Here is a 25519-nt window from a genome sequence, read left to right on the forward strand (position 1 = left end):
GGGTGGGGCCAGTCTCACCGCTGTGGGTCCCATCCCCATCATTTCTCACAAGGCCCTCAGATCACCCTTCCGCGGTGGGGGGCGGACACTCTAAGAAGGGAAGACCTGGGCTCCTGCTGGCGAGAAGGCGGTGGACATTTCTTCAGTGTCTGGTGCCGCGCCCTCTGCCCAGCGTGCTCCGTGGAGGGTCTCATTGTCTTCCTCCAGACGTCTCTTTACTGGCCCATTTTACAGAGGCGGAACCGAAGCTTGGGGTGTTGGCCACAGGGCTCTAGTGTGGGAAGCCAGGCCAGGCTGGACCTCAGCCATGGGGACCCCTGTCCCTGAGACTGTGGCACCTGCCACACCCTCTGTGTGACCCGCCTAAGCCAGGAAGAGAGGGTCAGGAGATGCCTGAGCCACCAAGAAGGCATCCCAGCGTCCAGCCAGACCGGTTATCCCTCCAGAGGGCTCCCCGGCAGGACAGGCTGGTCGCCATGTCTTCAGCCTGGTGCTATTTAAAGGTGGGTGCCACCTGGGGCTGTGGCCGCAGGGCCAGGACTGGGCTGCTGGGAGCTGTGTCCCCACAGCGGAGGTCGCCGCCCCTCTCAGGCCTCGGTTTCCCCAGTTGTCAATGCCTCCACTTGGCTGTGAGTCTGTGAGGGTCACTGTGCTCACCTTTTGGGGCCCAGCGCATGGGGCAGGCAGAGGAAGGGTGGGGGCCAGCCGCCTTGCTGGGTGGTTCCCCGTGGGGCCTGGGGTATGGCTCTAAGGGAGGAGCAAGTGTGGGTGCGAATGGGGCCGCCCCATTCCTGCCGCCTCCGACGTGCCCCGCCAGCCGGCCACCGACAGGTCTACGTGGCTATCCTCCCTCCTGCCCACCTACCTGCCCAAACACACGTCCCCAGTCGTCACCTGCCCACCCACCCGCGCATTCCCACACCCTTGTGGGCCTGGCTTTCGGGAAACTACAATTTGCGGGGAGAGAAGTCCCACGAGGGCATGCCCCGGAGCCTGGCTGGTCCCACGGCTGACGCACGCGGCAGGACCTCCCGTGTCCATCTCTGTCCCCAAGCATCTCCGCCTCTGCCCCTCTCTGTCTCTGTGTCTCTCTCGTCTCTCCCGGTCATCTTCCTTGTGTCTCTTGACTGCCGCCGTCTTTCTGTCTCTGTCTCCCTCCGGGTCTCTGTCTCCCTCCAGGTCTCTGCGGCCCGCGTCTCACACTCCCGCCCCCGCAACCCGAGGTCCTAGCCCGCCCGGGGACTCGGCTGACTCACGGACACGCCCCGCGAGACAAACAACAAACGCGCGGAGGCCGAGCGCGGAGTCCCGCACGGCCGCGCCCCTGTGCACCTGGCCCCCGCCCCCGAGACGTCCCATTGGCCGGCGCCCTAGCCTGGTCCCGCCCAAGTGGACCCCGCCCCCGCCCCGAGGCACCCCATTGGCCGGCGTCCCCGCCCCAGCGAACCCGGCCCCGCCCCCGAGGCGCCCCATTGGCCCCGCCGCGCGAAGGCAGAGCCGCGGACGCCCGGGAGCGACGAGCGCGCAGCGAACCGGGTGCCGGGTCATGCGCCGCCGCCTGTGGCTGGGCCTGGCCTGGCTGCTGCTGGCGCGGGCGCCGGACGCCGCGGGAACCCCGAGCGCGTCGCGGGGACCGCGCAGCTACCCGCACCTGGAGGGCGACGTGCGCTGGCGGCGCCTCTTCTCCTCCACTCACTTCTTCCTGCGCGTGGATCCCGGCGGCCGCGTGCAGGGCACCCGCTGGCGCCACGGCCAGGACAGTGAGTGCGGGGCGGCGGGGGCCTGGGGTGGGGAGGCGGCGGGTGACGGCAACGCGGCCGCCGTCTTCACGGTGACCTGCGCCCGCGGGGGAGTCCCGGAGGCTCCTCTGTGCAGCCTCGGCCTCAGTTTCCGTGGTCTGTGAGATGGGTGCAGCCTGCCTGGTGGGAGGGTTGCACTGTTAAAGCGAAGGCTGCAGCGGCGGACCCGGCTCAGGGGCAGAGAAGCGTCCGTGTGGTACAACCCTGTGGGTGGGGCCACCCATCTGCAGGTGGGAAACTGAGGCTCCAGAGGGGCTGGGGCAGGCCCAGCTGCATGGCGGAAGCGGCGGGGGGCTGACCTCCGGACTCCTGACATCACAGAATCCAGTCAGGGCTGCCTGAGTCGGGGCCCCCTCTGCTTCTTCCCAGACACCCCATCTGGCAGGTGAGGACAAGGAGGCACACAGAAGGGATGGGACCTGCCCAGGGTCACACTGACAGGGGTGGCGGAGCTGGGTCCCCACAGGGCCCAGGACGTCACGGAGCGGGCGTCTCTGTCCCCAGGGTCTGCCGAGCACACTGAGGTAGGCCCTCAGTGTTTGTGGAATGTCAGGAGCAAGAGGAGAGGCTGGGCACAGCAGGGGATGTGGGTACCTGGAGGCCAGGGGAGTCGGTGTCCCCGCCGGGCGGGGGGCACTGGGAAGGGGGCCCGGGCCCGCTGGCTGCCGCCTGAATCACCACCATCAGGGCAGGTAATCACCCCCTGTCCTTCCCACCGCTTTCATCTGGGCGCCAAGGCCCTCATTAGGCCGCACGTGACGAGGGCGGACAGGGGACTGGCTGGGCCGGTCCATCCATGGCGGGCATGGCCAGGCGGGGTGGCCTCGGGCCGGGGCAGAGGCCTGGCTCCGCTGCCTGACCTGGAACAGTCTCTGCCTCTCTCCAAGCCTCGGTTTCCCCAGCTGGACGGTGATGGGGGTGAGGGCTAGCTGAGGGCTCTCCTGCCCTTCGTGCATTCGCTGGTCACTAATCGGGCACCTTGTGGGTGCTGTGCTCCGCATGGGGGACCCAGTGGTGACAGAGACGCCCACCCTCCTGGGGCTCCCAGAGCAGAGGCGCGCAGCAGTTAGACACGTGAACAAGGGCGCAGGTGGGTGCACAGAACAGTGAACGGTTGGCCGGGTGCAGTGGCTCACGTCGGTAATCCCAGCACTTTGGGAGGCCGAGGCGGGCAGATCACGAGGTCAGGAGATCGAGACCATCCCGGCTAACACGGTGAAACCCCGTCTCTACCAAAAATACAAAAATTAGCCGGGTGTGGTGGCGGGCGCCTGTAGTCCCAGCTACTCGGGAGGCTGAGGCAGGAGAATGACGTGAAGCCGGGAGGTGGAGCTTGCAGTGAGCTGAGATCGCGCCACTGCCCTCCACCCTGGGCGACAGAGCGAGACTCCGTCTCAAAAAAAAAAAAAAAAAAAGAACAGTGAATGACGTGAACAAGGGTGCAGGTGGGTGCGCAGAACAGTGAACGGCGGTGTTGGGAGGCACCTTGCCAGGGGAGGGGAGGTGCAGGGCGAGGAAGGGGCCAGGGGAGATCGTGACACAGACGCCCCAGAACAACCACCTCAAAGACGTTCCTGTGTGTCCTGGAAGGTCGGGCTGGGAGGCTGCCCCGAGGAGCTTTCACTTTGACAGGGAGCTGGCCGGGCACGCAGGGAACTGTACACCCAGCTGACAAAGCGGCAGACACCCAGGCCGGGGTGAGCGAGTGTGGGTGAGGAGTGGCGGCTGGCCCCAGGGTCCTTGCTGGACAAGACACTTCAGCTCAGGGTGGGGCAGGGCTCACCCAGGGCTACCCACAGACGATGGCGTCCAAATCTGGCTCTGCCACTCCCAGGCCTCAACTGGCCCCTCTGCAACGTGGGCTGCTGAGCGGGCTTGGTAGGACAGCTGGCATACAGTCGGCGCTCAAGCATGTCTGTGGTGTCCCATAAACCACCGGTGTCCCACTCTAGGCCACTGCCAGCCCGGCCTCCAGTCCAGAGTCCCAGTCCGGAGTCCCAGTGACTGTGCGTGGGCCGGGCAGCTGAGCTGTGAGGGCCGGGCTGGGGGCTCCATATGGGGTGGTGTGAGCTGTGAGGGCCGGGCTGGGGGCTCCATATGGGGTGGTGTGAGCTGTGAGGGCCGGGCTGGGGGCTCCATATGGGGTGGTGTGAGCTGTGAGGGCCGGGCTGGGGGCTCCATATGGGGTGGTGTGAGCTGTGAGGGCCGGGCTGGGGGGTCCCTGGGGTGGTGTGAGCTGTGAGGGCCGGGCTGGGGGGTCTCTGGGGTGGTGTGAGCTGTGAGGGCCGGGCTGGGGGCTCCATATGGGGTGGTGTGAGCTGTGAGGGCCGGGCTGGGGGCTCCATATGGGGTGGTGTGAGCTGTGAGGGCCGGGCTGGGGGGTCCCTGGGGTGGTGTGAGCTGTGAGGGCCGGGCTGGGGGCTCCCTGGGGTGGTGTGAGCTCTGAGGGCCGGGCTGGGGGGTCTCTGGGGTGGTGTGAGCTGTGAGGGCCGGGCTGGGGGCTCCATATGGGGTGGTGTGAGCTCTGAGGGCCGGGCTGGGGGCTCCCTGGGGTGCTGCTGGTCGCTGGCTCATTGACAGTTATCAGTGGTCTGGGTGGGCCCTGCCCCTTCTGACTCCCACATCCCAGGAACCCTTTCCCAACCTTCCTCGTGGTGTTGCTGCCCCCCTGACGTCCGTCCCTCTGGGTGTGTGGGAGCCCCCCCGCCATACACACACACAGATGCTGCTCTTGGGCTGAGCTGCAGGGACAGCGCTGACCTGGCCCTCCCACGGGGTCCTCATCGATCTCTGCACTCCCCCAGCTCGTGGGGGCCGTCCTGCTTCCCGTTCCCTCTGCCTGCTCCTTGCTCCTCCCTCACATGCTGGGGGGGGCTCCTGGTGTCAGTCACGGCTCTGGGGGATCCTGAGTGTCCGTCGTGGTCGGGAGGGGACTCGTGGTCCCGGGGGTCTCCTGGTATCTGTCGTGGTCCTGAGGGCCCTGCACGAAGCACAGCGGACAGCAGCGGTGCTGGGGGTGAGCCAGCAAGGCCCTCCCCGACCCCCGCCTCCCCCAGGCATCCTGGAGATCCGCTCTGTACACGTGGGCGTCGTGGTCATCAAAGCAGTGTCCTCAGGCTTCTACGTGGCCATGAACCGCCGGGGCCGCCTCTACGGGTCGGTGAGTGCCGGGCAGGGCTGGGCGGCGCGGGCAGGGTGGGGAGGGTGGGCCGGCCTCACCCCCGCCCGCAGCGACTCTACACCGTGGACTGCAGGTTCCGGGAGCGCATCGAAGAGAACGGCCACAACACCTACGCCTCACAGCGCTGGCGCCGCCGCGGCCAGCCCATGTTCCTGGCGCTGGACAGGAGGGGGGGGCCCCGGCCAGGCGGCCGGACGCGGCGGTACCACCTGTCCGCCCACTTCCTGCCCGTCCTGGTCTCCTGAGGCCCTGAGAGGCCGGCGGCTCCCCAAGGTGCCTGGGCTGGTGGCGAGGGGCCCGGCCACGCTTGTTCTTCCCCCTGCGGGCTCTGTAAGCGCTGAGTGCCCACCGTGTGCGGGCGCTGTGGACACAGCCCAGGAGCCCTCCAGGGGGGTCCCAGCCTGAGGGGGTGGTGGCCACCAAGCAGGTTCAATCCTGAGTTGGGGACCTCGAGGACCCAACAGGGCGCCTCTCGGGCTGAAGGACGCAGACGTCGAAAGGTCGAGGGGGACGTCCCAGGCAGGGCCCGGCAGAGGCAGGGGCTCGGGGTGGGGAGCACGTTGGGAGTGGGGGCAGGAGCGGAGGGGAGGGGAGGGGGCCGGGGAGACGGTGACAGACGCCGCAGAACACCAGCCTCGAAGCCGGTCCCGTCCCGGGAATCTGCAAATACAACGCCTTGCGAGGACAAAGGCACCTGCAGGTGGGACGGAGATGGAGGAGCATCCAGGGTGGGGGGTCCAGGGCCCCAGTGTCCTCACAGGGTCCTCACGACAGGAGGCGGGACAGTGAGAGCCAGAGAGAGATGGGGATGGGCCGCGCTGTGGCCGTGAAGGGGAGGAAGGGCCCTAAGCTGAGGGACGTGGGTGCCTCCAGATGCTGGGGAAGGCGGGAACGGTTCCGCACTGGAGCCCCCGGGAGGGACCGGCCTGCTCCTGCCTTGATATGAGCCCAGTGGGACCCAGTTTGGACTCTGGCCTCCAGAACCGCCAGAAAATAAACGTAGTAAGCCATCAACTTTGTGGTCTTTTGTTACAGCAGACGTCGGAAATATGCACACGGTGTCTGAAACTGTTCTCATGACAAAATAAGCCTCAGATCCCCCGGGGAAGGGCGGAGGCCAACGCCTCGGTGTTCCTCCGATCCCCCGGGAAGGGCGGAGGCCGACGCCTCGGTGTTCCTCGGATCCCCCGGGAAGGGCAGAGGCCGACGCCTCGGTGCTCCTCAGATCCCCCGGGAAGGGCAGAGGCTGAGGGCAGGAGCCGTGCTGGGTGCAGGGCAGGCCTGGGGGCTTCATGCCGCTGTCCTGCGGGACGCAGAGAGGGCTGGCCGTCGGTGTGGGGGCGCCCCCACCTGTGCCCAGCGCCCTCCTGACATCCTGACTCCGCTGGGACTTCTGCCTACAGCCCTGGGAGTCAAACTCCAGCCTCTCAGAGAAAAGGTCAGAGCCAAGAGCCCCACAGCCTGGAGCCAGGCAGTGACACCCTGGGCCTGTCTCCCCTTCTGTGTGTGGGGCGACAGCAGCATCGCCCTGGTGAAGTCCCCGGGGACGGCCAGGGCTCCATCCCCAGCCGCCGCCTTCCACATAAATACAGGAAGACTGGGCCGAGGCACTTGCTGGGAGGTGCTGAGCAGCCTGACACGGAAAACCCTTCTGGGAAGGGAGGGTCGTGCCCGGCCCGAGAGCTTCTGCTCACCCTGCAGACAGAAGCGAGCCCCACCCCAGGGGACACCAGGCGGCCTCTGGGGACATCTTTGGCTGGCATGGAGTGGGTGGAGGACAGGGCTGCACCCAGGATGTCCCCAGGTTGGCAGTGTGAGGGGAGATCGGCCCACGTTGGCCAGTCGGAGGGCGTCGCCACTTGAGTTGTCACTGGGAGCTGCACAGGTCACCACAGCTGAAATAAAACTTGCTGGCACCCCACGCAGGAACGTAACATGTGCCTCGAAGAAACGGGTCAGCAGGCCGGGCGCGGGGGCTCACGCCTGTCATCCCAGCACTTTGGGAGGCCGAGGCGGGTGGATCACGAGGTCAGGAGATCAAGGCCATCTTGGTCAACATGGTGAAACCCCGTGTCTACTAAAAATACAAAAAATTAGCCGGGCGTGGTGGCGGGCGCCTGTAATTCCAGCTACTTGAGAGGCTGAGGCGGGGAATCGCTTGAATCCGGGAGGCGGAGGTTGCAGTGAGCTGAGATCGCGCCACTGCACTCCAGCCTGGGCGACAGAGCGAGACTCCGTCTCAAAAAAAAAAAAAAAAAAGAAACAGGTCAGCAGTTGTTTCTTTGTTTCTAAAACAGAGCGTGGAATGGGCGTACAGCTCCGCACATCCCAGGGCAGTGAAATCCCGGTTCACACAGAGCCCTCAGCAGCTTATTCGCAAGCCCAAACCTGGGGACCCCCGTTGTCCTCAGGCAGTGAGGTGGGGGCCCCCCAACAGAGAGGAGCGGCCTGGGGGCACAGAACCAGCGGCTCCCCAGGAAATCGCCAGCAGTGAAAATAAGACAACCCCAAACTGTTGCAAACTGTGCTTCCGCTTACGAAGCACTCCTGAGCGGCAGGGCGGATGGGGAGAGGGCGGCTGCAGGCGCGAGGGGCCCGGGGACGCAGGGGTGCGGGCCTTACCAGGGCCCTGTCCTGTCGTGCAGCAGGCTCCTGGGGCAGGGAAGACACCAGGGGCGGCCACTTCTTACTGCTGTCTGACCTCGAGCAATGCGGCCTCACAGCCCCCACCAGGGTGCCGGTGTCCTCTGGGCCCAGCGCCCCCGAGGCTCATGCCTGGGTGGGGCGAACCAATCGGTCCTGCTCCTCTGGCCACTCCACGCGAGGGAAGTCCCAGCCTCACAGGCAGGCGCACACCCCGGCAGCATCTCTGACAAAGGCCCTCCAGTTCCGAGTCTCCAGGTCCCGCCGCTGCAAGCCTCACCTGCCCAGCCCTCCTCTCCAGCTCCAACTCCAACTCCCAAGAACCACCACGGACACACAGAACCCGAGCCTTGTCTCCCTCAACGCCTCCTGACTCAAAACTCCATCTTCCAACAGGAAAACGGCTCGGCCGGGGGACTGTGACCCGGAGCAGGCGGCCCAGCCTGTCGCGCAGACTCGGGGCCTAAAACACTTGTTCTCTCAGTCCGGAGATCAAGGACGATCCGAGGTAACCTCCCTACCTCGGTGTCCTCCATGCAACCTCGTCTTAGGGCACCGGGTACGTTACCTCGTGAGGAGCCGAGTCCGCGGGTCCTGGGGTTGAGATGTGGACGCCCTCAGGGCTGGCACTCTGCCCTGGCGGCCACAGTCATGGAAGTCCCAACGCTTCTCTCGGCTCCGCAACCCCAGAGGGCGGCCACGAGGAGGGCCCGCCACGCACGACCCCAGAGGGCGGCCACCAGGAGGGCCCGCCACGCGCGACCCCAGAGGGCGGCCACCAGGAGGGCCCGCCACGGCGTTGCGGCAGCAGCCCAGAAGGTGCCCTGCGCACGGTCCGGACAGGTGGGATCCGAGTTACCTGGCCAAGGGGGCTGACGCAGACACGTCGCGGGACACAGTGAAGAGTGTGGTGCAGAGCGGAGGGCGGGAGTCTTTGGAGAACAGGTAGGGGCGTGGGGCACGCGCCTCCCACGCGCAGGAGCCGTCTACCGTGGAGGGACACGGGTGGTCCTGCTGGAGGCTCCTCTCCGTTAGCTGTCTCCATCGTCTGATTCTTGGATCCCAGGATGGTGGGATCATCAGCAACTGAGATGAACCCACTGCCCCGGCCCCCTGAGCCCGCAGGTCCCCACGCCTTGCCAGCTGTGCCCGAGCTGGCTGCACCCCGGGCCAGGCATCCAGCAACCTTGAGCAGTGGGGTCCGGCTTTTCAGAAGGGGCCAGGAACCCGCGTGGCTGAGGTGTGACCGAAGCGTGGGGCAGAGGCGCTGGGCCCTGGCGCTTTAACGCTGGTGTTTCTGGTTTTAAATTTCACGACCCAGTGACACTGCCACCCTGCTACCTCGCCAGCAGCCCTCCTGGGCTTAACTTCGGGAGAGCAGTTTTGCTAGCCGGCCCTGGGTGCCAAGCCCTGCAGGAGGCGCAGACCCCTGGAGACAGGACCGGACTCTGCAGAGCCCGACCAGCCTCCCAGCTTGGCCTTTTCCTGACGCACGGGCGCAGAAGGAAAGCCACAGCACCGGCTTCTCTTTGTAAGTAGTGTATTTTAAATAGCTTTCAAGATACACATATTTTTTCCTTTAAAAAAGTCTGTTGGAGCAGTTTTGTTCTTGAATTTTGCTGGTCATCCTCATGGTCCCGAGCCCCCCTACTCCGGGTCGTGGAGGCGGCCGAGGGGGAGGCTGGGGGCCCACGTGGCCCGTCCTGGCGGCACCTGCAGCACTGGGGGAGCCGCTGAACCCCGTGCTTCAGCGCTGGGGGAGCCGCTGGGCCCCGTCTTCCGCCACAAACCATGCATGGCCGCCACGTGAGCTCAAACGTCCGTTTATTTCAAAGCAGTAATAATTTAAAATTATAAAAATCTTTCCACCGCTGAACGTTTAGAGGGTGAGGTTAGACAGAGGACGGGGAGGCTGGGGACGCCCCAGAGGGGACCATGTGGCCCACGCCTTCCCAAGCCAGGGGGCCGGTGGGCCGGGCCCGGGTCCTGCCCTGGAACAGGCGGGACCTGCAGCGCTGACCAGCCAAGCGTGGCGCCGCCGGGGCACCCAGTCTGTGGGTGCCGTGTGGCGCTGGCTGAGGGTGGGTGGGAAAGGCCCCGTGCTTTCCCGACGGCCGACGTGGGCTCACGAGTTGCTTGTGGCGTTCTCGTTGCTGGGCGAGCTGGAGGAGGACGATGACGACGAGGAGGAGAAGCTCACCCCAGTGAGGCCAGGGGGGTTCGTGGCCGTGTTCTGTCCCGTGAGGCTTTTTCGGCAGACGGGGCAGCTGTCGTGCTTTGTGGGGACAGAGGCAGGGACGGGAGAAGGGGCAGGTTAGAGGCGGGAGGGCCGCGGTCGGGGTGGGGGGGCGGGTGGGCGGGGCACTCACCTGCTCCAGCCAGGGCACGATGCAGCCGTCGTGGAACAGGTGGTTGCAGGGCAGCTGCCGCACACGCTCACCCAGCGCGTAGTCGTCCTTGCACACAGGGCACTCGAGCCCGGAGCCTGCGGGAGTGTGCAGCTGCGGTCACAGCGGGCGTGGGGGGCCTGCCGAGCCTTCAAGGGCAGGCTACTCCACAGCCTCAGCCGGAGGCCGCCCCTGAGCCCAGCGAGGGGAGAAAAGCCGTGTGTGTGTCCCCCGGGCTGCCAGAGGGGACCTGGACAGAACCCTCTCCTCCCAGCCCACCTTCAGGGAAATGCTCGAGGCCGGGTGCGGTGGCTCACGCCTGTCATCCCAGCACTTTGGGAGGCCGAGGCAGGAGGATCACCTGAGGTCAGGAGTTCGAGACCTGCCTGACCAACATGGTGAAACCCTGTCTCTACTGAAAATACAAGTATGAGCCAGGCGTGGCGGCGGGTGCCTGTAATTCCCACTACTCGGGAGGCTGAGCTCTCATACCTACGTGCTCCTCAGTGACGGGGACGGTGGGGAGGGCCTGGATTTTCTCTTTATCTGCCGGTGGGGGGCCTGTGTTTTCAAACTGATTGAGGAGCTGAAAGACAAGAGGCGAGAGTGCCGGGAGCTCCTCGGGGGCCCGGCCCGGGGCTCTGAAACGCGAGGCTGCAGGACCTGCAAAAGCACCGAGGCCGCGTTTGTCCTGGGCCCTGGGCCCCTTGGAGCCCGCCCGGGGTCGGAGATCACTGTGGAGCCCACGCGGCCCCCCCGCTCCTGGGTCCCCTGACGGTGGAATGGGGGAATGGGCGGAGGCCCGCGCTCCTGGGTCCCTGACAGCGGAATGGGGGGGGGGGCCGCGCTCCTGAGTGCCCTGACGGCGGAATGGGGGGGCCGTGCTCCGGCTGGTGGGCTACTGTGAGGGTCGGGTCCTGCCAGTGACAAAATGCTCCAAGGGCTCCTCAGCAAGGCTGAGACGGGTGGCACTTGGAAGCAGGTCAGGGCGCGACCTCTCGGGAAGAGGGACCGCGTGGCCTCCTGACCATGTGACTGTGGGCGAGTCCTCCCCGCGGTTTTGCTACAACGTTCCGCGTGAACACAGGAGAACCCCCAAAGTTGCCAAGACTCAGAAATGGCAGGAGGAAGGCCGGAGCTGCCCCCTGTGCCCGCCAGAGCGTGGAGGCTGTGCCCGCATCCCCTTTGACCTTTGTGGGGCTTCGTGGGTCCAGGCAGTGGGGCAGCTCCCAGGGGTGGGCAGCCCAGCCCTCCCCCAGCAGGCACTCTGGGCCGTGGCCACGCTGTACCTGTGTGATGATGGCATCCAGGCCGTTGGCCCCCCAGGCGTAGTCCATAGGGTTTGAGTGCAGGACTCCCCTGGAGGTGGAAGGTGGGGTTCAAGTGGCTGACGGGCAGCTGGGGCAGGTGCGTCTATCCACCCCACTCACCAGGGGCCCAGGCTGGGGATGGGGACAGGCACCCCCTCCTACTCACCAGGGACCCTGGCTGGGGATGGGGACAGGCACCCCCACCCACTCACCAGGGGCCCAGGCTGGGGATGGGAACAGGCACCCCCTCCTACTCACCAGGGACCCTGGCTGGGGATGGGGACAGGCACCCCCACCCACTCACCAGGGGCCCAGGCTGGGGATGGGGACAGGCACCCCCACCCACTCACCAGGGGCCCAGGCTGGGGATGGGGACAGGCACCCCCTCCTACTCACCAGGGGCCCAGGCTGGGGATGGGGACAGGCACCCCCTCCTACTCACCAGGGACCCTGGCTGGGGATGGGGACAGGCACCCCCACCCACTCACCAGGGACCCAGGCTGGGGATGGGGACAGGCACCCCCACCCACTCACCAGGGGCCCAGGCTGGGGATGGTGGCGGGCGTGATGATGCCGTTGACGAGCTGCTGGATGATCCTGGAAAAGAGAGCGCCAGTCACGGGGTGAGGCCGCCCCACGCACAGGAGAGGCGCCAGGCCTGCCAGGTCCGTGGTGAGCACCAAGGGCAGGGCCAGCATCAGCTTCTAGATTAGCTTCTATTTATTTATTTTACTATGAGCCAGGGTCTCACTCTAATGCCGAGGCAGGAGAGAAGCAGCTTGATCTTGGTTCACTGCAGCCCCAACCTGCTGGGCTTAAGCGATCCTCCCGCCTCAGCCTCCCAAGTAGCTGGGACCACAGAAGAGGTCCACCACTCTCGGCTACTTTTTTTTTTTTTTTTTTTTTTTTTGAGACAGAGTTTCACTCTTGTTGCCCAGGCTGGAGTGCAATGGCACGACCTCGGCTGACTGCAACCTCTGCCTCCCGGGTTCAAGTGATTCTCCTGCCTCAGCCTCCTGAGTAGCTGGGATTACAGGCGCCCACCGCCATGCCTGGCTAATTTTTGTATTCTTAGTAGAGACGGAGTTTCATCATATTGGTCAGGCTGGTCTCAAACTCCTGACCTCAGTGATCTGCCCGCCTCGGCCTCCCAAAGTGCTAGGATTACAGGTGTGAGCCACCTCACCCAGCCTCAGCTACTTTTTAAAAATTAGAGATGGGGCCTCCCTACATTGCTCAGGCTGGTCTTAAACTCCTGTCCTCAAGAGATCCTCCCTCTTTGACCTCCCAGAGAACTGCAAATACAGCACTGAGCCACCGTGCCTGGCAAAATTAGCCACTTTTAAAGATGACATTTCCAGCAGGTGAGACACACAACCATAAAAGCATCAACCGCCAGGAGTAGGGCCCTGCGACGGCTCCCCCAGGCTCTGTTCCACCAGGAGCAGGGCCCAGCGACGGCTCCCCCAGGCTCTGTTCCACCAGGAATGGGGCCCTGCGACGGCTCCCCCAGGCTCCGTTCCACCAGGAGTGGGGCCCTGCGACGGCTCCCCCAGGCTCCGTTCCACCAGGAGTGGGGCCCTGCGACGGCTCCCCCAGGCTCTGTTCTGGGCCCAAGGCCTGGACAGCGTTTGACGACACGCGTGTGGACAGCAGTCTCCAGAGCACGTGGGCCTGGCAGGCACACGGTGCCCCACTCTGTGGTCAACCCACACACCCTGAACCGGCATACTTCTGTCTCCGAAGGGCCGTGTGGGGAGTCACAGGGGGCTGGAGGGCCTGGCCGGGCGGCCTCTCCAGAGAGCCTATGGATGATGCCACGTTTCCGTGGAACCCGTGCTGGATTCTAAGCGCCAGAACTTCCGACCTCAAGGCGTGGGGCCCTCGCGGCCACCCCCGGGGCCCCCTCACCCTTCCAGCGTGGGGACGCCTTCGTGCCGGCCGGTGGCCCGCCGCGTGGTGAGGCGGGCGCGGGGCTGTCGGGCGCCGTACCGGTGCCGGGACGGATGGTCTCTCTCCCGCCGGCTCTCAGGGTCCCTGCCGTCGTCAGCCTGCGCCCCAGGAGGGAACGTGGGGATCTCGAAGCTGTCATCGAAGATGCCGAAAGCAAACTGTCCGTAGCCCTGCGGCAGCGTGAACAGGTGCTGGTCCACGTGCTGGGGAGAGGAGGGGGGCGTGACCTCGGGGGCTCAGGCCCGTGCAGTCTGCTGGGGGCGCTAGGGCACAAAGACAAAGGAGAAAGCAAGACGGGCCCTGCTGGGTGCCGGGTGGGAGGGAGACGCAGACAGGGAGGCAGGAATTGGGCAGAGCCTGCCCCGCTGGTGTGAGATGCCTCGGTGGAAGTTTCGCTTTCATCCAAGAAACCAACCAAGCAGCGTGGGCCGCCCCAATCCCTGGCCCGGGCCCCTGGAGGGAAAAATTTCCTCCGCCGTGCGGGCAGGGAGAGCCGGGGAGGCGAGGTGGGGACAGGCTGGCGCTCGGGGCCCCGAGCAAGGCTGACACGATCGGGAAGCACGAGGGGCGGGCGACTCACCTCCAACGGTGGCCGGCTCTGGTCTGTGGGAGCTGTGGAGGGGGCAGAACCATTTTCTGTGCTCCTGGGGAGAGAGTGCAGGTCAGCAGTGCCGGCTACCCTGTGCCCCCATGCGCCAGGCGCTCCCTCCCCTCAAAAGCCTATGTTGGGAGAGCAGGAATTGTCCTTGGCACTGCTTCCCACCCGCCACCGCCCCAGCATTTGGTGCCGTAACCCGCTGCTGCTTCCCTCGCCAGTAAACCACGGGTTTCTCGATAAACCGGTGCAGACCCCAACAGCCTCCTAAGCGTGAGAATGTGGGTAGGGCCCCCGTGGCCCCTTCCCCGGAGGGCCTGGGTCACCAGATTAGCCGCCGAGGCTGAGGGAGGTGAGCGGCTGCACAGGTTGCCGGCACTCCCCTCTGGCCCCGGCCCGGCCATCACAGAAGAGAACGGCACGCTGCTGTCTGCACAGAGAAAAGTGCTCCCGGAGCCACAGACACCAGGGCCTGACGGCCCCACACTCGGCGGGGCGGACGCCAGCACAGCCCACACCCCTACAACAGCTGAGGCCCGGCTGGCTCTTCCAGCCTCTTCAACAGGGGGCTGCATTACCTGGTCTCTTCCGGAAGCTCCTCGATAAAACCAGACTCGCATCTTGGACAGATATAATCCTGCAGGAGAGAACAGGAGGCCGGGTCACGGTGACGCCGGCATCACCTGCAAACCCCCCCAAGTGTGAGGACAGAGGGGCTCCGGACCCAGCGGTCTCTGGCTGGCCAGGCACACGCAGGCCAGGGTGGCTCCCAACCCGTGGGTCCTGGAGGGCGGCCGAGGGGACCTGGCCTCTGCCAGCCACCCGCTGACCCTTTGGTGGCTCCCGGCGATCTGAGCCCCTCCGACCTGGCCCCACCGTGACGGGCGTCACCAGCGTCATCAGCGCCTTGGCTGAGCCCCTCCGACCTGCCCCACCGTGACGGGCGTCACCAGTGCCTGGGCACCTCCTCACACAGGTGGCACCACTCGGAGGGGTGCCCCAATACCCCACAGTGGCATTTCCAGGACGCTCTGGCAGCCCCGCACACAGCCCGTTCCCCTGGCTCGGGGGAGGCCACGTCCACGCTGGCCACACCCCTGCAAGACCCCATCCCCAGGTCCCCCTAGAGCCAAGGACAACACAAGGCCAACATGGTGATGTCCCAGAGGAGACGTGAGGACCCTGCCCAGGGACAGCCGTGGGTGAGTCCCAAAACCACGTTCACAGTTCCCCAGCACCAGCCTCAAGCCACAGCTGTGCCGAGCAGGACGGATGCCATCCCCTGTGGATCTCACACTGCAACGGGATCCCCAGGGCTGAAGGGCCTGCTGGAGACACTGGCTCACAGGGCGGACTCCTCATGGATGGCTGGGCCCCTGGTGATGGCGGAGCGTGCCGAGCATTCGTGGGGCCTGGGCTGAAACGTGCATGGTGCCTCCCGGCCTCACCAGGGGCTGGGCAGATGCCGACACACACTTCCCGCACAGCCTGCAGAACTGGAAACTGGAAGCTAAATCAACTGCTCTCTATGAACGACCCAGTCTCAAGTGCTCCATCGCAGCAACGTGAAAATGGCCTCACACGGCACGTGTCATCACGCCAGGGGCTCACATGGGGGTCCCAAGACCACCCCCAGGTAACACAGACAAAAACAGGAGACAAGGCTCCCACCGTGCATGGGGGAGTGCTGTGAGGGGAGCCAAGGTCGACCCCAGGCTCTGGGGATGCAGGTTGCACCGGGGCTGTTCAGTCTTCGCAGGGGCAGGGGCTGGGACCTCTCCAGCAAGCAAGATCCCGGCCTCACCCACTGACTCTGGGGAGAAGCGGGGGTCTGGCGTGCAGTGCCCAAGGGGAGGGCCGACAGCTGGGCCCCCGCCCACACCACGCCGTGCCTGCCTCACCTGCTCCTGCCACTGAAGCACAGGCTGGGTGGGGAGGGACTAAGGCCAGGGTGAGCAAACGATGCCAGATGCACATGAACCCACCGTGAGGGGAGAGTGAAGAGGCACCATCTACAATATAGAAAAAGTGCGGCCCGGCTCCTGGTGAGGCCGGGAGGCACCACATGCGTTTCAGCCCACGCCCCACGAATTCTCGGCACGCTCCGCCATCACCGGGGGCGCGGTGGCTCAGGCCTGTAATCCTGGCACTTCGGGAGGCCGAGGCGGGCGGATCATCTGAGATCAGGAGTTGGAGACCAGCCTGGCCAACATGGTGAAACTCTGTCTCTACTAAAAATACAAAAATTAGCCGGGTGTGGTGGCGGGCGCCTGTAATCCCAGCTACTTGGGAGGCTGAGGCAGGAGAATTGCTTGAGCCCGGGAGGCGGAGGTTGCAGTGAGCTGAGATTGTGCCATTGCACTGCAGCCTGGGCGAGGGAGCAAGACTCCGTCTCAAAAAAAAAAAAAAAAAAAAAAAAAAAAAAAAAAAAAGTGCTGGCCGGGCGCGGTGTCTCATACCTGTAATCCTGGCACTTTGGGAGGCCGAGGCAGGCGAATCACCTGAGGCCAGGAGTTCGAGACCAGCCTGGACAACATGGAGAAACCCCGTCTCTACTAAAAATACAAATGTTAGCCAGGCGTGGTGGCACGTACCTGTAATCCCAGCTACTCAGGAGGCTGAGACAGGAGAATCGCTTGAACCTAGGAGGCGGAGGCTGCAACGAGCCGAGATCATGACATTGTAACTCCAGCCTGGGCGACAGAGTGAGACTCCGTATCGGGAAAAAAAAAAGTGCTTACAACTCAAAAGAAAGAAAGAAAGAAAGAAAAAAAAGCCCAGGCCAGGTGCAGCAGCTCACACCTGTGATCCCAGTACTTTGGGAAGCCAAGGTGGGCAGACCATTTGAGGTCAGGAGCTTGAGACCAGCCTAGCCAACATGGCCAAACCCCATTTCTACAAAAAACAAATTAGCTGGGTATGCTGGGGTGGGTCTGTAGCTCCAGCTACTAAGGAGGGGGAGGAGACAGGCAGGAGCGGGAGGCAGGAGGCAGAATGGCTTGAGTCCAGGAGATCGAGACCGCAGTGAGCTGTGGTCCCACCACTGCGCTAGCCTGGGTGACAGAACCAGACCCTGCCAAAAAAAAAAAGAAAAAGAGAAACAGACAACGCAACTAAAAACGGGCAAAGTCGGGAGGCTGAGGCAGGAGAACGGCTTGAACCTGGGAGGCAGAGCTTGCAGTGAGCCGAGATCGCGCCACTGCACTCTAGCCCGGGCGACAGAGTGACACTCCATCTCAAAAAAAAAGAAAAGTGGGGGGGGAAAGGACGTGTACAGGACATGCCTCCAAAAACACGCTGGGTAAACGCAGCCGGCCAGCCCCAGCGAGATGCCACTTCCCAGGGCCAGCCAGGACGAGATGCAAGACCCCGTCAGGCCTGCTGGGAGCCCAGAAGTCCCCCAGATGGAACTACCCCATGACCCACGAGCTAGAACTTTCACTCCAGGCGCAGACCCCAGAGAAACGAAGACACCTGCCCACCAAATGTTCACATGGCCAGAACTGGCAGGTGAGAGTTCACGGCAGCACAGTTCATCATCGTCGTCGGCAGATGCAAACAGCTCCAGTGTCCACCCGCACCTCAGAGCACGACTCAACCATGGAAAGGGGCAAGGCCCAGACCAGGCCACGGCGGGGGGGAGGGGGGATTGCATCTTGAGGACATCACGTCCAGTGAGAGATGCCAGACACAGAAGACCACGCAGCGTGTGATCCCACGTCTATGAAATGTCCAGGACAGGCCGAGCCACAGAGACAGAGAGGGGATGTGTGAGCACCAGGGCCTGGGGGAGGGGACGGGGAGTGACGGCTGGCAGGGCTGAGGTGGGTTCTTTTTGCAGCTGTGAGAATGCTGTGGAATTAGACTGTGGTGGTGGTTGCACAACTTTATGAATATACTACAAACGTTTCACCAGGTGAATTATATGGTGTGTGAAAATACTGAGATAAAGCTATTAAAATAAATGGGCCAGGCGCCTGTGGTCCCAGCTGCTAGGGAGGCTGAGGTGCCAGGATCGCTTGAACCTGGGAGGTGGAGGCTGCAGTGAGCCAAGATTGCAGCAACAGAGTGAGGCAGCATCTCAAAAACAAAAACAAAAAAAAGAAAGAAACAAAGAAAAAAAGGGCTGGGCACAGTGGCTCACACCTGTAATCCTAGCACTTTGGGAGGCCAAAGTGGGCAGATCACTTGAGGTTAGGAGTTCGAGACCAGCCAACATAGGGAAATACCGTCTCTACTAAAAATACAAAAATTAGCTGGGCACGGTGGTGGGTGCCTGTAATCCCAGCTACTCAGGAGCTGAGGCACGAGAATCGCTTAAACCCGGCAGGCAGAGGTTGCAGTGAGCCGAGATCATACCACTGCACTCCAGCCTGGGCCACAGAGTGAGACCGTGTCAGAAAAAGAAAAAGAAAAAGGGAAAGGGGAAGGGGAAGCAGCCAACGACCACCACTGTGGCCCTGAGCTTAGTGTGGGAGCAGTGTGGCTCTGCCACAGTGGCCGTGACAACTCTCCCCAGGCGTCGGTTCTTGGGGTGTGTTTGGGGTGTCGGGATTGGGACGCCCCACGTAAACACGCTGAGACTTCACAGTCAAATCTGAACCCCTGGTTTCTGCCGGTGTCGGGTCTATCGGGGCTCCTCTGGGCTCAGGGGTTGCCGCCGTCCGCCCGCCAGCTGACCGGGAGCCCAGGGCCGCTCCATCGCCTGGGTGGGTCTCTGGGAATGGAGGGGTAGCTCAGGGCTCAGGCTCTCCCTGCATGGTGACTCCCCAGGCTAGCACCACCCAGTGGACCTGGAACAGCTGCACTGGCCCCCACTGAGGGCAGGACGTAAGTCAGCTGTGCAGCTGCCCCGACCACCATCTCTCCTGCTGGGTGCATCCACAAGGTCAGGCAGCCCCAGAAGGGCCTGAGGGAGAAGCTGTCTCCCTCTGAGGACCCTGGCTTGCCAGCCCCAGCCCCGAATCTCTCCTGGACAAGCACGAGGCCCTGCACACGCCCACGTGGCCTGGCACAGCGCTCGGCCGCTCTGGTCCCCATGTGCCGAGCTCAGCCCCTCTGTGCATCACTGGCTTTCTGTCGGGCTCCCGGGTTCCCGTCTCAGTCCAGGGCACAACGCATGCTCCCGCCACCCGCACTGCCGGCTCACGACAGCCCGACCTGGCCACATACACACTCATCTGCCCCAGCCCTGGCCTCCTCTTGGCCCCCGCTGTCCTGCCCGCAGCGGCCGTGGGGCCTGGTGCCACAGCACTGTCCAGAACCCTCTCTCTGCAGCACCCACTCCAGCGTCGGGGCCTGTGCACGTCGGCCCTGCTGCTGGAACGCCCACCCTAGGGGTTTCAAAGGTCACCTCTCTGCTCCAAGCCTCTGCCCTGTCACAGAGGACAGCCTGGACACTCACTCATATCTGAAATCCGGGTGCCATCGAGGACGCCAAGGGCTGCGACCCAACTCCTGCGTATTGTCAGGGCTCTGGGCTGTCTCTCAGGCCCCCGGCCAGCCCCTCCAGGGCCACCGAAGGCCGGAACCGAGGCTCTGGTCACGAAGGCAAGTGACAGGTGGATCCCGGATATCCAGGGTGGAGGTTGAGCCTCTGCTGGCCGACGGTGGGAGGGGCTGGACCTGGGGGTCTCCAGCCGCCCTCCTCCTCCAAGGGCACAGCCAAGAGACCGCTTGGTCTCGTATTAAATCGGGGCAGCTGCAGGTAGAAACGCCTGGGCAAGGGGGCCTGGTGAAGGAGCTGCCCCACCTTCTCCGGGGGCAGCACGCACTGGGGGCCCCCACAGAGGCCCCATTGGAGCCTCTGGCCCTAGCAGAAGACGGTGAATCCATTCACCTCTCCGTCAGAGAACAGATGCAGGAGGTACGATCACCCGGCATCATCACCATAGCAACAGCTGGCCAGGCAGCCAGGGTAGGGGGGACCCTGCCAGTGCCGGGCTCCACCCATGCACCCCTGCAGCGTGATGGCCTCATCCCCGGGTGGGACCTGGCAGGGCAGCAGAGGCCCCTTCATCCACGGGGCCTGCACGGGGCGCATGTCCTGAGGGCCCAGGGCCAGGCGCATGGAGGGGAGTGGGCTGGCGACCTACAGGCCCCAGATGACTGACAGTGACCAGGGCAGGCAGGCCCCTGGTGACAGTGACTCGGCCCCTGTGGGTGGCAGGGCCCTCGGGAAGCTGTGCACATCAGGAGACCCCAGGGAGAGTCATGGTGCAGTGCTCGGCCTCGGTAGGAGCCCCCGTGCTGGCTACTGTTTTCCTAAAGGGTGCCCAAAGCTTCCCGGCTGATCCACAGTGTGTGGGCCCCGCAGCCCCAGAGGCACGGGCACGTGCGGCGCCTGCACCCCTTTCTTCCCGCCCTCAGCAGCTGCCACCACATCCCACATTCACACCGTCTGTCCCTGGGCCCCACGCACCACACACTCCCAAGACAAGCTGGATGGACGAGGCGTGAGCGAAGCCACTGCCTCAGCCCAGGCTGGGGCCCCGCCTCACACCCCAGGGCGTGCCTCGGCCCAGGCCCCGAACTCTGCCTTCTTCTTCCCAGGTGGCTTCAGGCACCACCACTAGGGACTGGAACCCCACAGGTGCCCATCCGTGCCAGTGCCAGGGGTGCTACGGCTCGCCCGAGGCTCAGAGGAAGGTCCTCATGGTGGCAGAGTTCTAAGTGGGAGGAAATTCAGCACCGGCATCTGCCCGAGGCAGACCCCAGCGCCAGCCGGCCAGAGAGGGCAGCCGACATCCACAGGTTCCCGGGGTATTGCTGGTGCCCGATCACAACGCCAGGCTCCATGTTCACAGGGTGCTGCAGGGAGCCCGTTCCGGAGAACCCAGCTGTGCAGAGCCGCTCCAGGGTGCTGGCCGGACGCTTGAGAGGCAGGGGCAGGCTGTCACTGTCACGGTATCTGGCACAACCGCAGACACACAGAGCAAGCAGCGGCCAGAGACAGACCCAGGCCGTCTTCTGAAGACTCGGGCCAGGCCGCCGCAGGGACCAGGAGAAGACAGGGTGGGCCGGGGGGCAGCTGGGGAGACTTCCCGCCTGGCCCCATCAGTGACACTGGCCGTAGCAGCCCTCACTTCCTGGTGGCTCCCCGCCCACGCCGGCTCTTCCCCGCCACCGTGGGCGGCAGGGCCCAGCACCCCCACCGTCCTCTCACCGCCACTTGGGGACACTGCGGAGGTTGCAGGCGTTCGGGGGTGGGGGGTCGGCAGGCAGAGCTGGAACCACCCTAGGAACCACCCAGAGACGGGGAGGTCAGGGGCAAGGACGGCACGCAGGGCCACCTCCCTGCGCCCGCCTGGTTCCTGGGGGCTCAGTGCCCTCAGCAGCTCTCGCCCACACCCTACAGTCACAGCTCCAGTCAGTGCCTCCTCAGCAGGCTCGAGTCTGGGTCTGCGCAGCCGCCTGTGGCCTGAGCTCCAGCTGGCCTGTCTGGTTCCTGCCGCCACACGCCCCACTCTGGCTGACGCTCCCTTTGCTGCTCAGACACCCAGACACCCTCGTCATCGCCTTTTTTTTTTTTTTTTGGAAGGAGTCTTGCTCTGTCACCCAGGCTGGACTGCAGTGGCACAATCTCGGCTCACTGCAACCTCCGCCTTCCAGGTTCAAGCAATTCTCCCGCCTCAGCCTCCTAAGTCACTGGGACTACAGGTGCCTGCCACCACGCCTGGCCAATCTTTTGTATTTTTAGTAGGGATGGGGTTTTACCATGTTAGCCAGGCTGGTCTCGAACTCCTGACCTCAGGTGATCCGTCCACCTCAGCCTCCCAAAGCGATGGGACCACAGGCGTGAGCCACCGCGCTCGGCCTCATCACAGCCTTTCATGGGGGCAACTGCTGCCCCTGTGCCGTCGTCGCCTGAGCCCCCGACCGCAAGTGTGGCTCCCCGCTCAGGACACCCTCACGAGTCACCAGGAGAGCGGCCAGGTGCCGGCCACTCTGCACACACGTGCCCACCAGATGCCACGGGGAGCGAATCGCATCACTAAACCCACTTGGCAGGTGAGGAGACTGAGGCCAAGGCTGCCCAGCAGAGAATGACCCAGCTGCGCGGGGCCTCAGCCTGATCCCAGAGCCCAGGACAGCAAAGGAGGCCCGGAACGGCCCAGCTGCCTGGGAGAAGCCCTCGTGGGCAGGCACACAGCCCATGGCAGCCAGTCCCCCCTGCGTCAGAGGCAGGCAGGAGCTTCCCGACAGCCAGCCCAGGTGTCTCAGCAGCAGCAGTGCCGCCCCTGACTCAGCCGCCGGGCAAGCTCCCCAGCGGCAGAGACGCCCCGTTTCGAGGGCACTGGTTGTGGCTGGGGACTTTCCCCATTGCCAGATACGGAGCAGCCGTCCCTCCCCAGAACAAACGCCAGGTGTGCCCATTTCCCAGCATAAAAAATTCGTTTTTGAGACAGCGTCTTGCTTGTCACCCAGGCTGGAGTGCACTGGCACCATCACGGCTCACCGCAGCCTCCACCTCCCAGGCTCAAGCGCTCCTCCCACCACCTCAGCCCCCGCCAGTAGCTGGGACTCCAGGAGTGCAACAACACACCCCACTAATTGTTTTAGTCTTCTGTAGAGACAGGGTCCTGCCACGTACGGAGAAGTTCTGACACTGCCATGCTGTCTACGGGCGCCTTGTTGCGTCCTGCTCCAAAGGCACAAGCAGATGCCCTTGGGATCACCCGCGGGGTGGACACGGGCAGGCCCCCGCAGCCCTCTCTGCAGTTATTTGCTCTTAAGGAATCTACCAACGTCCATGATTAAATATTTGTCAATCACTGTTCCATGCTGGCTCCCTGGCCAGCCTGTAAATTCTGTGAGGGCAAAGACCACAGCGGCCTGTCACCACAGAGTTCCTTTCACTACAGGAAGGCCCTCCCCAGGCCCAGTGACAGTCGGAGGAGGTCAAGGTCCTCCGTGTCCAAGGCCACGGGGCGAGGAAGTGGCTCCACCACACCAGGATCCAGTCCTGTGCGGGCTCTAGGAGCAGCTAAATGTGCAGCCGAGTCAAGGCAGTGTCGGCCCCCCACAGCCACCACTCCAGGCTTCCCAGGGGCTTCCCAGGCCTGTCCCAGGGCTCAAGGGGCTGCAAGGGGCTGCCCTGCAACTCACCCAGGCTGGCGGGCTGTCAGGCAACCAGCCTCTCCTGCCACGGCCAGTGGGGACAGAAAGCTGGAAGAGGCAAGAGCGAGACCCCTGGGAGACAGAGGAGTAAGGCAAGGCTCAGTCTCAGCTCCCCAACCTTCGCCCCACACCCGAGATTTCACTTTATTTGTTCCTCCTGCTGGGGAGGGGAAGCCCTGTGGCTTCAGTAGAGAGGAAACCACACCTCTCTCTTTCCACTCCTGGGCCTGGCCCCGCTCTCCCGCCATGCCCCAACTCTAGCACTCGCTCCTCCTCTGTGACCCAGAGACAGGCGGCTTCTCCTGACTCCCTCCAGCCCCTTCCTGGGTCTCTACTCCCGGGGAACTGCACTGCTTCTGGGGGGCTTGGACTTCTCTTACGGGTCAAAGCGTAGCAACAGCCGGGCGGCTACGTACACAGCACAGTAAATCCTCAATGCCTGCAGCCTCTTCCCCTGGGCACAGGGTGGGGAGTCCAGACCCCTCCACCTCCTGCGGCTGCTCCCCTCAAGCTGGCCAAGCGGCTCCCGACTGAGCCGGCTCTGCCACTTTCCCGCTGAGCCACCACGCGCCTCAGTTTCCCCATCTATAAAGCACGGGTGGCTCGACTAAATCACCACTTTGCACGTCAGCCTGGCGAAGGGCAACACGGGTTAAAAATGCAGACCACCGCCGGGCACGGTGGCTCACACCTGTAATCCCAGCGTTTTGGGAGGCTGAGCCAGAAGAATCGCTTGAGCCCAGGAGTTCAAGACCAGCCTGGGCAACACAGGGAGACCCCATTCCTAAAAATAATATTAGAAATGCAGACTGCTGAGCGCATTCCACACCTACTGACTCCGAAACCCTGGAAAAGGGGCCTGGAAATAGCACCTTCAACGAGCGCTGCTCCCACCTCCCCCAAGGTGACATCAGGTCCGCGTGGGAAACACTGCCCTAAACGAGCAGGAAGTAGCACTCGGCACGCCCAGGCCCAGGGTCCTCTTCGGTGAGGGGCGGCTGTAAACACCTGGAGGAAGGGTGGGCTGCGCAGCCAAGCCCCGGGAGGGGAGGAACGCAGGCTCTGCTCACAAAGCCCCGCCGGCGGGCCGCGGTCGGACCCCGGGACAGTGCCTGGGGCGTTCCGGGCCTGGGCCTGCCTCCAAGGCGGCGGCCAGGGCTCCACGAGGCGAGCCTGCAGCGAGGCGCCGGCGCCCCCAACCACGCGCTCGGCGGGGGTCCCCTGGCGTTATTCTCGGGGTCCGAGCCCCGCCAGGCCCAGCCCCTGCCCCGCGCCGCGCCACCGGGCAATACCCTCTCTCTGCTCGCCGGGCCTCAGTTTCTCCGTTTGCAAAACCAGGCTCACCGGGCTTAGGGATCCCACCTGGGATCCTCGCGGCCTCTCGGGTCGGGAACGCCGCGGATGTGGGGTCACCCGGCCGCGATCCCGCTGCGCCGCTCCGGCCAGGCCCTGCCTCCCGCCCGGGCCTCAGTCTCCCGCATGTACAGGACGGGGTTCGCGCGCGCACCGCCCGGGCTCCCCGCGGATTCAGCCTGGGCCGGCGCTGCCCCGAGCCTCAGTTTTCCCGTCGTGGTCAGCTCGCGCAAGAGGCGGGCGCAAGCGACCCCCACCCCGGCCCCGGCCTTGCCTCAGGCCTGCGGCGCAGACCCTGCCGCCCGCCGCCCCGGCCCGGGCCTCACCGGCAGGCGCGGGACGATCTCCACGGAGCAGCAGTGGCAGAAGTACCGTCCGGGATGCGGCGACGCCTCGGCCATGGCCGCCGCCACCTACTCCGCGCCGCCCGCCCCCCGCGCGGCACCCGCCGCCGGCCGTTTGCTGCTCCCTCGCCGGCCGACGCGCCCGCGCACGCTCACGCACGGCACGCACGGCACGCGGGGCGGAGCGGGGGCGCGGGAGCGGCGAAAGCTGCGTACTCGGCGGGCAGCGGCCCGGGCGACGGTGGCCGCTGAGAGACAAACTAGGCCCGGCCGTTGGGCGGGGCTCCAAGCGGGGGCGGGGCTTCCGGCGGGGGCGGGGCCAAAGCAGGCGGCGGAAGAGACGAGAAGCGGGGCGTGCGCGGGGCGGGGCCGAGGCCCTCCTCCCCTCCCGAAGCTGCCCAGGCCTTCGTGTCCCTCAGTGCTTCCCTACCTCATCGCCGTCTCCCCTCACGGTACTTCAGCCCACTGTCCCCACCGTTCCTGGGGCTCGCCAGGCGCCCTCTCCCCCGCCCGCTGCCCGGTGCAGCGCTCTCCCGACGCCCGCGTGGCTTTCTTCCAGGTCTTTGCTCAAATGTCAGCTTACAAGGTCTTCTCTGCTGCCCTCCTGCTCCGTGGCACTGATTCCCTCCCGATGCACTGTCAGGTCAGCTGCGCAGCAAAGGGATTTTTGGACCCGCAGCAGCGCCTGACACACAGCAGGCATTCCCTCAGCGCTGCGGAATACAGGCAGACCCGGGGCTCAGGGCGCTGTCTGGGCCTCACTGGGACCCGTGGGGTCAGACAGAGGCTGAGGTCTGTGGGTTGTGGCCTTGTTTCCAAGATGCTCCACGGGCT

General features: G+C 64.7%; 2 protein-coding genes across 5 annotated transcripts, besides 10 other annotated features; one reads left to right on the top strand and one right to left on the bottom strand.

Moving 5' to 3' along the window:
- Positions 116 to 841: an enhancer, noted in NCBI's record as "H3K27ac-H3K4me1 hESC enhancer chr19:638495-639220 (GRCh37/hg19 assembly coordinates)". NCBI's record gives its function as "activates a minimal SCP1, AML or CMV promoter by ChIP-STARR-seq in primed H9 embryonic stem cells {active_cell/tissue: H9 hESC(primed)}" and the evidence as "EXISTENCE:reporter gene assay evidence [ECO:0000049][PMID:30033119]".
- Positions 1183 to 1672: a silencer, noted in NCBI's record as "silent region_9613". NCBI's record gives its function as "represses an Ori minimal core promoter by ATAC-STARR-seq in GM12878 lymphoblastoid cells {active_cell/tissue: GM12878}" and the evidence as "EXISTENCE:reporter gene assay evidence [ECO:0000049][PMID:35858748]".
- Positions 1500 to 5994, top strand: FGF22 (fibroblast growth factor 22). Of its 2 annotated transcripts, none has more exons than NM_020637.2 (3): positions 1500 to 1760; positions 4856 to 4959; positions 5031 to 5994. In NM_020637.2, the coding sequence occupies exons 1-3, from the start codon at positions 1547 to 1549 to the stop codon at positions 5223 to 5225; spliced, it is 513 nt and encodes a 170-aa protein (NP_065688.1). In that variant the 5' UTR covers positions 1500 to 1546; the 3' UTR covers positions 5226 to 5994. The 2 variants fall into 2 exon arrangements, with proteins under 2 accessions (NP_065688.1, NP_001287741.1); NM_001300812.3 differs by having other exon boundaries at positions 5054 to 5994.
- Positions 5766 to 6706: an enhancer, noted in NCBI's record as "H3K4me1 hESC enhancer chr19:644145-645085 (GRCh37/hg19 assembly coordinates)". NCBI's record gives its function as "activates a minimal SCP1, AML or CMV promoter by ChIP-STARR-seq in primed H9 embryonic stem cells {active_cell/tissue: H9 hESC(primed)}" and the evidence as "EXISTENCE:reporter gene assay evidence [ECO:0000049][PMID:30033119]".
- Positions 9147 to 24835, bottom strand: RNF126 (ring finger protein 126). 3 transcript variants are annotated; one of them, NM_001366018.1, is made up of 9 exons: positions 24668 to 24835; positions 14447 to 14505; positions 13854 to 13917; positions 13313 to 13476; positions 11855 to 11917; positions 11300 to 11369; positions 10503 to 10596; positions 9993 to 10108; positions 9147 to 9898 (listed from the first exon to the last, which is right to left on the bottom strand). In NM_001366018.1, the coding sequence occupies exons 1-9, from the start codon at positions 24740 to 24742 to the stop codon at positions 9749 to 9751; spliced, it is 855 nt and encodes a 284-aa protein (NP_001352947.1). In that variant the 5' UTR covers positions 24743 to 24835; the 3' UTR covers positions 9147 to 9748. The 3 variants fall into 3 exon arrangements, with proteins under 3 accessions (NP_001352947.1, NP_919442.1, XP_047295025.1); NM_194460.3 differs by having other exon boundaries at positions 13232 to 13476; XM_047439069.1 differs by lacking the exon at positions 9147 to 9898 and having other exon boundaries at positions 10042 to 10108; positions 10503 to 10673; positions 13232 to 13476.
- Positions 19436 to 20348: an enhancer, noted in NCBI's record as "H3K27ac-H3K4me1 hESC enhancer chr19:657815-658727 (GRCh37/hg19 assembly coordinates)". NCBI's record gives its function as "activates a minimal SCP1, AML or CMV promoter by ChIP-STARR-seq in naive H9 embryonic stem cells {active_cell/tissue: H9 hESC(naive)}" and the evidence as "EXISTENCE:reporter gene assay evidence [ECO:0000049][PMID:30033119]".
- Positions 20349 to 21262: an enhancer, noted in NCBI's record as "H3K27ac-H3K4me1 hESC enhancer chr19:658728-659641 (GRCh37/hg19 assembly coordinates)". NCBI's record gives its function as "activates a minimal SCP1, AML or CMV promoter by ChIP-STARR-seq in naive H9 embryonic stem cells {active_cell/tissue: H9 hESC(naive)}" and the evidence as "EXISTENCE:reporter gene assay evidence [ECO:0000049][PMID:30033119]".
- Positions 23222 to 23311: an enhancer, noted in NCBI's record as "active region_13568". NCBI's record gives its function as "activates an Ori minimal core promoter by ATAC-STARR-seq in GM12878 lymphoblastoid cells {active_cell/tissue: GM12878}" and the evidence as "EXISTENCE:reporter gene assay evidence [ECO:0000049][PMID:35858748]".
- Positions 23452 to 23511: an enhancer, noted in NCBI's record as "active region_13569". NCBI's record gives its function as "activates an Ori minimal core promoter by ATAC-STARR-seq in GM12878 lymphoblastoid cells {active_cell/tissue: GM12878}" and the evidence as "EXISTENCE:reporter gene assay evidence [ECO:0000049][PMID:35858748]".
- Positions 23802 to 23851: an enhancer, noted in NCBI's record as "active region_13570". NCBI's record gives its function as "activates an Ori minimal core promoter by ATAC-STARR-seq in GM12878 lymphoblastoid cells {active_cell/tissue: GM12878}" and the evidence as "EXISTENCE:reporter gene assay evidence [ECO:0000049][PMID:35858748]".
- Positions 23902 to 24191: a silencer, noted in NCBI's record as "silent region_9614". NCBI's record gives its function as "represses an Ori minimal core promoter by ATAC-STARR-seq in GM12878 lymphoblastoid cells {active_cell/tissue: GM12878}" and the evidence as "EXISTENCE:reporter gene assay evidence [ECO:0000049][PMID:35858748]".
- Positions 24682 to 25161: a silencer, noted in NCBI's record as "silent region_9615". NCBI's record gives its function as "represses an Ori minimal core promoter by ATAC-STARR-seq in GM12878 lymphoblastoid cells {active_cell/tissue: GM12878}" and the evidence as "EXISTENCE:reporter gene assay evidence [ECO:0000049][PMID:35858748]".

Source organism: Homo sapiens, chromosome 19, assembly GCF_000001405.40.
Source record: "Homo sapiens chromosome 19, GRCh38.p14 Primary Assembly".
NCBI lineage: Eukaryota > Metazoa > Chordata > Mammalia > Primates > Hominidae > Homo > Homo sapiens.